Below are 12,546 nucleotides of genomic sequence, written 5' to 3'. Positions count from 1 at the left end.
GTCCAGGAAGCAAAATATATATTGAGAATTTTACAGATGATAGTCATAGAACATTATTATACTGGGCGGACCAAAAAGCCCCAAACTGTTTGCCATTTATATATTGCCTTCTTTGGAAAGCAGTTTCGTTTTTTTGGGAGCTGGTGGTGGTAAGGGTGGATTCAGTTGCTATGGCTTATCAAACTAACATTCCTATTTCTGGCTACAATGGATGGGAGAGGACAAATAATTGAATTAGAGATAGTCTAATGTTCCATATCTTGTAGTAAACAGCAAACCCAGTCAGACCTTTTTATTTGGGATGTGGGAAGAGGAATGGCTGAGCTGTGGAATAGGGTCATTAGAGCTGAACTGGTGCTATAAAGATTGTATTACTTTATTATATATCTCTCTTTTTGTTTTTGTTTTTTTGAGACGGAGTTTTGCCCTTGTTGCCCAGGCTGGAGTGCAGTGGCACGATCTCAGCTCACTGCCACCTCTGCCTCCTTGGTTCAAGCGATTCTTCTGCCTCAGCCCCCTGAGTAGCTGGGATTACAAGCGCACACCACCACACCCAGCTAATTTTTTTCTCTTTTTAGTAGAGACGGGGTTTCATCATGTTGGCCAGGGGGGTCTCGATCTCCCGACCTCCGGTGATCCACCTGCCTCGGCCTCCCAAAATACAGGGATTACAGGTGTGAGCCACCACACTGGCCATATCTCTTTCTTATTACCTGCAAGAGCCTATCAAACTCAGAAATTCACTAAACTGTTTAGATTCTTAATACACTCTTGCAAATATATGAGATTGTCATATCTGTTGACCCCTTCAAACTCTTTGGCAATAAGCAATATTTATTCTCTTAGAAGTTGAGAAAAATACTCATAGTTTATGAATAAGAGAAGTGAAATATCTGAATTTTCTTCTTATGTTAAGAAGGTTTGTACAACACACATCATCTATTTTAGATTGTAGCATTCTAAGGGGCACACATGTTTTGAATAGTTTAATCCTTAAAGGGAGACAAATATTGTGCTTATTTTTGTTATATTGCTTATTAGAGTTGTGATTTTGGTGTGTTAATTAACATATAATGAATCTGCGAAATTAAAATATGTTATTTTTGAGGACAAAAAGCAATAGAATACATTAAAGTATGTAGCATGGTCCATAGCACATAACATAAATAAATGTTAATTATTCCTCCCATTTTTCTCTTCCCCATCATAATGAACAATGCTTTGTGAAAATTCTGGTTACTCACAAAAATCTGTGAATGACTAGCTCATATTTTATGATAGTTTAAAAGATTTTGTAAAAAGATTATTTTTTCCAAATTTTCTTTTCAGGTGCTAGTGGAGACCACGTTTATACATATAGTTATGATGCTAAAAGAGAGGATTTTGGTGCTCAAGATGCAACAAAACTGGATACGTGGGTTTTTGATAATGTTAAGGTTTGTGCTATTGAGTGGTTAATATACAAAAAGCATATTTTTACCTGAAGTATTGGAGACTGTATCCCACGTTTTTTCTGTTTTCATGAGCTTTGAAAGTTCTATGTTGTAGCACACTGTTCTGAATTCTAAGATTTAATTCTAAAAAATTACACATTCTAAATAAATAAGAGAAGTTTTAAACTCCTTTGTTTCTATTAGTAAAATGAGCCCTAGATTAGGATTTAGGAAACCTGTTTTTCGTTTCTAGTTTGTGATTCATCCTGGGTAAATTTTGATCTTTCATTGACCATGGAATCAGACTCTTGTAGTAATGGACCATATGAGATGTAGGAAAGCCTTTGGGAAAATGCTGTTCAAATGTAATACATTTATAATAACAAAGTGGATGATTTTTTAAAAAATACTTTAAAGAAAAATTAGATAAGCAGATTATATAGGCAAAAACAAATTAGCAAATTGATCATAATAAAAATCTATGGTTCCTTTAAGTACTAGTTTTTTGAACATTTTATAATGACAATTATCATAGTTTCATGAGGAATACGATATAATTTATATTCTCAAAAAGTGTGTGAAAATCTCAATTGTGGACATTGGCTCTCTTCTTTTACCAGTGCATTATTCCTCATCTCCAAATAACAACTCATAATTCATCCATTATAAGAAGCTTTGATTGATACTTCTTTTTTCTAGTAATGTCTTTTGAACTGACTTTGTGGACTTCTCCATGATATAGCCATTTTTGTTTGTTTGTAAATGTACTCCTTAGTATATATCTGCCTTTTTCTTTGTATTTGCTTAGCAGAAATTAAGTGCTCTAAAATTCATTGCTAAACCCTATTTTTTTCCAAGGGTTTTTCCCTTGAAATTTTCTTTTTACTTTTAATATATACTTTTGTCAACAGGGAAAACTTTCAACTTAAATAAAATCTGTGTAAGAAAATGATTAGCAAATTATTTTGCTAATCATCACTTCTTAACTTAATGTGCTAATATTAATATCTGCATGAAATCCTTTGGCTTCTAATTTCATATGTGTAGCTAAAATCCCTCCAAAATCATGGAATTGATTCCTTGTGAATGTACATACATAGCTGGTAGCTGGCCTGATTTTCATGTCTTTCTTCCTTTCTTTATTTCAACACTACTAGTCTTGACACGGTAGTGAACAGAAAAAAAGATTTGCACATGACTTCATAAAATATGGTAGATATATATTAACCAAGTTATAATGAAAATATGAAGTCATCAGCATTGGTAAGTGATGTGAAGGAAAAATACAGACCAAGAATATATCTTCAGAAAATTCTAATCTGTGCTGGGTAGTTAGGGGAAGGCTAAGAGGTTTGAGATAATCTCTGAGCAGGTACAGGAGACAAAGAAATGGATAGGGATGGATTGGTATGGAAAGGTATTGCAGGCCAACAGCATTATGTAAATCTTGGTCAAGAGCCAGCATAATGGATTTGAGGAAGTGAGAAAGAAGGGAGGTTAGTGTGGCAGGAGGACTGCCTGGGAGCCAGGTCTCAGAAGAGGCTAGAGAGTGAGGTAAGGGTTTTACTCGAACTTCATGTCCTGGCTAGAGACTCATGTTTAATTCAAGCCAAACAGTTTCCAGATCCATGCAGTTTTCTACTCACCTGTTTTTTTGTAACTGTGGTTAAAAAAAAAAATATATATATATATATATGCAAAATACAGAATTTACTGTCTTAAGCATTTTAAGTGTTTGCAGACAGTCCCCAGCTTAACAATGGTTTAACTTACGATTCTTTTGACTTTCCACCAGTGCAAAAGCAATACATATTTAGTATAAACCGGACATTGAGTATCCATACAACCATTTTGTTTTTTACTTTCAGTATAGTATTCAAAAATTACATGAGATTGTAATTATTATCTCACTTATTTCACATTATCAACACTTTATTAAAAAATAGGCTTTATGTTAGATGATTTTGCCCAACTGTAGACTAATGTAAATGTTCTGAGCATGTTGAAGGTAGTGTAAACCAAAAATAAAATTCTAAGCACCTCTCCCCCAACCCCCCAACTATCTCAATGGACTTTCTCAGCCAGGGCGCTTTTAAAATGTAACCTGAGAGACTGATTCAGGCCATAAGGGGAAGTGGGTGTTGGACATGCCTCATTATACCTCTCTGGCATTAACGTCAACACAGACCTTAAAGTCTAATAAGAAACATGTACCCTAAAACTTAAAGTATAATAATAATAAAATTAAAAAAAAAAGAAACATTTTACAACCTATTCTCTCTGAAGCCTACTATCTGAAGGGTTCCTCTGCAAATAAGAACTTTGGATTCCACAATCTCTTATCTTAACCCAGACATTCCTTTCTTTTGATCCCAAGTCTTTAGAGAAACTCAACCAATTGCCAACCGGAAAATTTTTAAATTTCCCCCCAATCCCCACTTTGAGTTGTCCTGCCTTTCTGGACCAAACCAATGTATTCCTTAAATATATTTGGTTGAAGTCTCATGTCTCCCCAAAATGTATAAAACCAGGCTGCACCCCGACCACCTTGAGCAAATATTCTCAAGATCTCCTGAGCACTGTGTCATGGGCCATGGCCACTCATATTTGGCTCAGAATAAATCTCTTCAAATATTTTATAGAGTGTGACTCTTCGTTGACAGTAGGCCAGGCTAAGCTATGATGTTTGGTAGGTTAGGTATGTTACTGGCACAAGGTATCTGAATTACCGGCAACAAATCTGTAAGGATCTGCAGCAACCTCAATTCTTACCTTCCCAGAAGAAAAACTTCGACTGGGGGTCATAAGGCAGAAGAAGAGACCAAGGCAGCAATGGAAGTTTATTTACAAAAACTTTAGAACGGGAAAGAAAGGAAAGTATGCCTAGAAGAGTCCCAAGTGAGCAGCGAGGTCAAGTGCAGTGTTTAATCTTGATCCTAGGACTTTATAGGCTGGCCGCTTTCCATGATTCTTCCCTTAGGGTGGGGCGCCCGCATGCACAGTGCCCTCCTTAACCTTGGGAGGTGAGCATGCATAGTGTGTTTAGAAAGTTGTACACATACCTATCCGAGGCTTTCTTTCCTTTTCTGGTGGAGTGCCCCCTGACAGGCATACTATGCCATTTGGTCTATTAATGCACATACCTGAGAAGTTGCATCTCTCTGGTGCTTGCATTCAGTTAACACTTTAGTGCAGCAAGTGTAGACCATCAGGAAATGGCCTCTCCCTGGTGCCAGCTGCCAATCTACCACTTTTAGAGAGGCAGTGTGATAATTGCTGAATCATCACCCGACATTCCTAGTGGTCGGGGAAGACCCCTCCCTTGCCCCACTCATGCCTGTCTAACTACCTGTAACAGGTATATTACATGCATTTTTGACCTACAATAGTTTCAATTTAGGATGGGTTTATTGGGATATAACCCCATTGCAAGTGAGGAGCATCTGTAATTTAGTAGTGTTAAGTATGTTCATGTTGTTATGCAGCTAATAATCTCTAGAATATTTCATCTTGCAAAACAAACTCTGTACCCATTAAACAATAACTCCGGCCAGGCGCTGTGGCTCACACCTGTAATCCCAGCACTTTGGGAGGCCGAGGCGGGTGGATCACGTTCTCAAGAGATTGAGACCATCCTGGCCAACATGGTGAAACCCTGTCTCTACTAAAAATACAAAAATTAGCCGGGCATGGTGGCACGTGCCTGTAGTCCCAGCTACTCAGGAGGCTGAGAGGCAGGAGAATCGCTTGAACCCGGGAGGTGGAGGTTGCAGTGAGCCGAGATTGCGCCATTGCACTCCAGCCTGGCGACAGAGTGAGACTCCGTCTCAAAAACAAACAAACAAACAAAAAAAATAACTCTTCATTTCCCCCTCCCCCAACGCCTGGCAACCACCATTCTACTTTCTATTTCTATGCATTTGACTACTCTAGGCACCTTATATCATAACTGGAATCATACAGTCTATGTCTTTTTGTGATTGGCTTATTTCACTTAGTATAATGGCCTCAAAGGTTCGCCTGGGTTGAATCTATTTACTTTAAAAAACTCAGTTCATGCATCTTCTTCTCTATTAGGTCTTCTGTGACTTCTCTTTGCTTTGCCCTATTTCCAGTTCGACTTAGATAACCCTCCTCTATATTCCCTTAATACTTTATTGTGCTATACTATAACTGTTCATACATTGACATATTCCCCTTCAATATACGTCTTGTTGGCACAGATACTGACTTTTTCACACTGTTAACTTTAAACCCTATCAGAGGCTGGGCGCGGTGGCTCACGCCTGTAATCCCAGCACTTTGGGAGGCCGAGGTGGGTGAATCACTTGAGGCCAGGAGTTTGAGACCAGCCTAGCCAACATGGTGATATCCTCTCTCTACTAAAAATACAAAAAAATTAGCCGAGCATGGTGGTGCATGTCTGAAATCCCAGCTACTTGGGAGGCTGAGGCAAGAGAATCGCTTGAACCCAGGAGACAGAGGTTGCAGTGAGCCAAGATTGTGCTGCTGCACTCCAGCCTGGGCGATAGAGACTGTCTCAACAACAACAACAGCAACAAACTCTTATCAGGGAATTGTTTGGTACATGAATAAGTATATTAACTTAGATTAGATCATACCTGTGTAATATGGAAAAAAATAACTTAAAAGTTTACTTCTATCTTAGTAAAGATAATGCTGGCAGTAGGCAGCTGAGCATTGATGCAGTCCAGGATGCTATAGTGGTTCTACAGTATCACTGACACTTAGTCTCCTAAAGTTTTCCTCTAACTTCAGGGCATGAGTTTTATCTTCAAAGTTATGTCATGACCCAAGATAATCCTGGAGTTCCCGCCCTTATGTTAGTGTTATAGGTCAAAAATATGAAGAATAAAAAAGGACCTTCTTTCCTACTGAATTATATTTATTTCAAAAAGCCTTAGATCCACATAGCTTTATGACTGAAATGTTTGACTTAAATCTCATTGGCCAAAACCACAAAGGCACATCTAGCTGCAAGAAAGGATAGGATAGGCACATCTAGCTGCCAGAAAGGATTACATAGCTGAATATATTGTACCAGCCATAGAACAAATTATAGATGTAATTCAAGTCATTTGCTCAGTTTTTTTGTTTTCAGCTCTCAATTATGTGTTTAACTTTTAATTCTTTTCTCTTAAAGAGCTTATTGTTTTTATCTAGATTTAAATTTTCTTAGGGGTTAAGTAGAATGTATATGAAAGTTAGGGGGCAATTTTATACTTTTGAGAAGGATGATAGGTTATATATTGTATTAATTTATTTCTATTCTTGAATAGTTTCTCTAATTGCACCATTTGTGTTTTTTAACATAGTAGTGAAGAGTTATTTGAAAAAAATACTTAAATACTTCAGACTTTTGTTGAAAAGTTAAACATATCTTGTTAAAAGTTAACATCTTCTACAGTTAAAGGCATTTATGTGAACAACAAAGATGTATCTTGGATAGCCTGTTAACTTATTTAAAATAATTTAAAAGTAGTCTTCATAGTTTTGCACCCATGTTCATGCATATGTGAATACAGGGTGAATCATTTGCCTTAGAAGGGTTTATGAATCTAGTTTATCATTATTTAATTAGCATAATAATCTTCAAATTTTATTTTAATTAATTATTCCCAGCCTCACCCTGCCAAGTAATATTTTATTAATTGGTTGCTTTTCTGTTACATGATTTGAAGAACACATTCTAGCTGGGGCAAAGGAAGTAATTAGGAGGCTATTTGCAATGTTCTACATTAGAGATTACGGTTGGACTAGGTTGATAGTACACAGGACAATGAAAAGTGGTCCAGTTCTGAAATATTTAAAAAAATAAATTATTCTTAAACTGGTAACAGTATTACTATATTATTTTTGACTCTTGCCAAAATATGTCTTCAATCTGCTGTATTTTATTAAGTTAGATGTGGGATTAACAACATTATGAGATCTCTATGAAATTATGATCCCCTTTCTAACATCTTTTTTTGGCCTTATTATAACAGAGAAAACAGCTAACTCATTATTTGAACATAGATGTCTGAACTGATAGCAAAGACGTTGTGTTGGTAGGTCTTGAGCACAGATTTAAACAACGTGAGATAATTTAATTTTGTACTTATGCATAAATTTAAATGTTTTCATCAGTATTATTTTTAAAATAAAACAAATGAACTAAATATTTTTAACTCATTTGTTATATGTAGGACTTCTTTCATCATGCCAGAAACAACCAGTCTTTGTTTTCTAAAATAAATGAAGAGAAAATAGTTTTTTTCTTACATTTATTAGGAATAGATACAAACGGACATGCTCATCGACCATCCTCGAGGTAATTTAATATTGTGTTTAATTGTATTTTTTAGGGCAACAGCTATTCTATTGAACTTTTTATTATAAAGTTTTCTTTGGAATTATAACAACAGAGCTAATATTTTAAACAACTACTGTAATGTTTATTAAGTTCTCAATTATATGAGATTTCCAATATAGTCGTTTAAATCATATGTGCTGTATCCAGATGGCACATTAATATAAGTAAAATATATCCTGTACATATTACATAATCTTCATTTACTGAAGCAGAGAAAAAAATTATCTAAAATATCTATATATTTTAGAAATATTTTCAGTGAATCTTGAAAATATAAAGCATTTTATGGTATTAACTTTTATATCACCAAAAGATGTAATTATTTATTCCTTGTGTATTCCCTTTAATTAGTATTGTATCTAGCAAATAAATTGTATACATTTTTGTATACCATAATTCAATAACACTCCTTATATATGACAGCAAGTATTTTTCTCACTTTTGAGGACCATAAGTAAAAGGAAGATACCATGTTATACTCTTATTTCTGACTTTGCATTTGGTTTAAATTAGCCTAACAGTGGCTGTAAAGCCTATTGGGTTAGCTGCCAGTGATGAATACCTCACAATCCCCTTCTTAAACGTGATGCACTGCTGTAATTGATGGAATATTCATATCGAATGAACCTTGTTCAGTTGTGTGGCAGTCTTAAATATAATGTGTTCAAAACATGATATTATATTTTATATCAAAAGCACTTTAGGGAATGAAAATATTCTATACTTGAAATGATACTTGTAATGTGGCCAAACAGTTTAGTTTATGTAGTAAGAGTGAGAGACATGAACGTCATCTATCTCATTTAGGACCTAAAAAGGGTTTATTAAAATATATTTGTTAATCATTCCCCTCCTTTTAAGCCATCTTTGAAAACTATTTCAGGTTATTTAGCTTCATTAAAAGGAGAAAAAATTATTTTAACAATCTAGAGTACTCTGATTTTAAAATATTAAAGATGAAATCTAAAAGCATTTCAGAAGTTACTGATTTTGAATGTAATGAATCCACGTTGAATAAATTTGATTTCTCCAAATTAATTTAATTTGTTCCTCTGTTTCTTTACAAATAGAGACTACAAGCACAATATTAAAAAAGTTGATGATGGAGTTAAAGAAATCGTGTCTATGTTTAACCACTTCTATGGAAATGATGGGAAAACAACATTTATCTTTACCTCTGACCATGGAATGACAGACTGGGGTTAGTGTGTCTTTAATTGATATGTACCTTACAATTAAAGTAGTGATAAATGTAGCTGGTAAATATTTTATGATGTTGAGAGGATTAGATGTCTTGCTGTATACAAAATGTCTAGCACATAATTCTGTGCTTAAAATGTTAGCCTAAAAAACAACTGATCTTATAAAAAAATATTTTCTCTAACTAAAAAACGAATATATTCTCATTTACAAATGACAAACTAGAGAAAAGTGGAGAAGAAAATAAAAAGTAGCTATTATTTATCTACAGAGAATTAACTGTATATGATGGCAAAGGGAGTGACGTTAAGATGGTGTTACTGAGGGACCGAGGGCTGCTGAAATTCTGTCCCGGGTAAGCCTGTGCGCCCTGTGAGATTCCCAAGGCAAATGCAATGTGTGCACAGAGAACAAAATAAAGCAAAGATGAGATTTGTCCCCAAATCACAATATGGATTTCTAGTGATTTGAGTTCCACTTTATAAAGGACTTCTTTTGGCTCTACCTGCCAGAGTGGCCTGGAAGAAAAGGACCCAGAGACCTTGCCATCTTCTCCAGAAAGACTTAGTCTCTACTGCTTGCCCCAAGCTTGGGTGGTTACTGCCCAAGGGAGCTCTCTGTTCTTTCTGTCTGCAGTGCTGCTCTGGCAGCAGCAACATTTCTTCCATGTCTTATTGTTATTATTTCTATTCTTTCAACCATAGTTACTCAGCAGGCAGTCTGGTTTTTTGTTTTACTTTATGCCTGTTTGTTGTTGTTTCTCTAACTTGCTTTATAGGAATATTGTCAAACTAATTGCCATAAAAGGTTGTAACCATTTGGTAATGTAGTCACTAGAATTAACTATATATGGATCAACTCTTTAAAACAAACTATTTTAAAAAATATTTAGTTGTAAGTTAGTTCTTCTATATTTGTCTTATTATTCTTTATATCTTATTTGTAGGTTCCCATGGGGCTGGTCATCCTTCAGAGACTTTAACTCCTTTAGTCACTTGGGGAGCTGGAATCAAGTATCCCCAAAGAGTATCAGCTCAGCAATTTGATGATGCATTTTTGAAAGGTACAAGCATTTCTTTACTGGTTTATAAATACAACCTCTTAAAATAAGAACAAAGTTTAAATTTTTAAGAAATCACTCTTCAAATTTTAGTTGTAAATCCCTCATTTTGACATTTGTGCCATTACTATTTCTATACAAACACTACAAGGGGTTGTTGGCTTCTCTCTTCTCACAGAGCCATTTGTTGAACCCTTCCCAGCACACCACTGCTAATAACTAGACTTTCTGAATGTCTAAACTGATAAACTGAACTTTTGATGTTCTTTTATTAATTTATTAATTTGAATGTGAGGTAGAGTAAATAAAAATTAAAAAAGAGGAAATTTAAGGTTTCATAGAGGTAAATAATCAGTTTTTGAGATTTTTCAACCCAAACAAAGTACATGCTGTCAGTTATAAAATCACCCTACCTACAAGATATTTCTATTAGATAAAAAGCAAGAGGTAGTACTGAGCTATTTCAACCCCAGGCCCTAATGAAGACAGAAGAGCACAGTGAATAATGCACTCAACAGCATGTCTTCAGTAAGTAATGGTGCATTTTTCAGAGGGCGATTTCTTATATATTTGTAAGTGCTAATGGAGAGCATCATGCCACATCATAGGTCCACAGGGGAGACATTGACAAAAGGCCAGAACAGTGTAACCAGTACACTGCCATGATTATTTCCAGATTTATTTAAGCATGAAAGAAAAAGAAGCTAGTGGACTCTTTTTTTCATCTACTACATATCTTTGAGATAGCCCCTGCTTTCTCAGAACTTAACATTCTAGTAGGAGAATTAAAGCAACTATAAACAAAACTTACACATTATGATAATTTTATGAAGAAAATTAGGGTGATATGATAAAAGAGGAGGTAGGACTGGGCTCCTTTCTCCACCCTGCCCCCCCCCCCCCGCCAGTTTCCTTAGAGACAGGTTCTTGCCGTGTCTCTAAAGGAATGGAATGGGCTGGAATGTAGTAGCTGTTCACAGGTTCACAGGCCAGTCGTAGCTCACTACAGCCTGGAACTCCTGGGCTCAAGCAATCTTCCTGCCCCAGCCTCCCAAGTCGCTGGAACCACAGGTGTGTACCATGCCTGACTCAGTCTGCCACATTTTTATTAAGATATTTGGCAAAGGAGGCAAAATGCATTGGTTTTAAATGTATAGCTTTATGAATTTTACCTGCATATATATACCATGTAGTCTCCATCCAGATTCACCATACATTTATACCCTAGAAGTTTCCCTTATGGAGCAGGATACATTTTATAGAGTGGGCTAATAGAACATCTTTTCACAGTTAGGATAAGAGGGAGCCATTCATATGAAGGTTAGGGCAGGAGTGTTCCAGGCAGAGGGAATAGCAAATGAAGAGGCTAAAAATAGAAAGAGCGTAGCTTGTTTGAGGAACAGAATTGGAAGGCTGATGTGGCTGAGCACTGTCAGCTGGGAGCAGAGTACAATGAGTTGAGAGTTGGAGAGGTAAACAAGAGGTAGATCATTTGAGGCACCAAATCCTGGGTAAGGAGAGCATGAAGTATGTTCCGAGTGCAGTGCTCTATCATTAAAGCCTGTTAGAGCATTGCCAACATTCCAGTTTGCCATAGGAGCTACCTTTCTGACTGCTCTGTGGTAAATGGATTAGATTGGATCAAAATAGAAAGTAGGGTAAATAGTATGTTTGTATTTATGAGATTTAACTTTATTTTGGCATTTGATTTCATGTTGAATTGACGTTTTAGAATCACATGATTTCAAGAATCATCAGAAATGTATTTTTTCTCATATGAATATTAAATATCATACATTTTAGAGAAAAGGAATGGGCATTTTTTCATCAACTGATTAGTGTGAATTTTTGGTAGAGTCAGAAACGTATTTTTAAACTTTAATTAGCTTATTGAATGAAATTTTATTATACAAATATCTTATAACTCTTTTGGCAGTGTATCCTAAAGCCATTAAATCAAGACGGTCTCTCATAATCACTTGTTTAGATTTCCGTTTAATGCAATTTCTGAATTTATGTGTAGAAAAATGGAAGAATGAGCCTATCTTTGAAGACAATTTTAATAATAACTCAATATACTATGTTAACATTTGTGATTAGTGACTACAGGAACATCACAACTACAGTTTTAGGTGTTTTGGGAGGAACTGCCATCACAGAGAAAAAGAGAAGCTTGAATTAATTAACTTCCTATGAATTGCCTTAATAACTCTCTAGAACAGGATTGTAATGAGTTGTCAATGCTGACAGTTGTTACCATTGTGCTTTTTCACTTCCATCTTTCCTTCCTCAGCCTCTGATGTTTTGAAACAATTATCTCCCAGTAAACATTTAAGAAGCTTAATAAATCATCACAGGAAACACCAAATATTTACTTTTTGTTTTTTTTAAATTCTTTAAAAAAATACACCTTTGCCTTTAAGCATGATTTTTATTCATACTTGGCTTAAAATAGACATTTCTAACACCTATGTTTT

At 35.5% G+C, this 12,546-nt stretch overlaps 1 protein-coding gene across 47 annotated transcripts in view; it reads left to right on the top strand.

The window, feature by feature from the left end:
* PIGN (phosphatidylinositol glycan anchor biosynthesis class N) overlaps positions 1 to 12,546 on the top strand; it is a 169,442-nt gene that overhangs the window by 31,076 nt on the left and 125,820 nt on the right. For all 47 annotated transcript variants that reach the window (XM_047437461.1, XM_047437431.1, XM_047437439.1 and 44 more), the window contains 4 exons: positions 1,330 to 1,436; positions 7,643 to 7,767; positions 8,880 to 9,010; positions 9,956 to 10,072. In XM_047437461.1, coding sequence (XP_047293417.1) covers positions 1,330 to 1,436; positions 7,643 to 7,767; positions 8,880 to 9,010; positions 9,956 to 10,072 — 480 coding nt within the window. The remainder of the gene's footprint in view (positions 1 to 1,329; positions 1,437 to 7,642; positions 7,768 to 8,879; positions 9,011 to 9,955; positions 10,073 to 12,546) is intronic.

Source organism: Homo sapiens, chromosome 18 (assembly GCF_000001405.40).
Source record: "Homo sapiens chromosome 18, GRCh38.p14 Primary Assembly".
Lineage (NCBI taxonomy): Eukaryota > Metazoa > Chordata > Mammalia > Primates > Hominidae > Homo > Homo sapiens.
The sequence above is the reverse complement of the archived record's forward strand: the minus strand, read 5'-3'. Positions and strand labels throughout refer to the sequence as shown.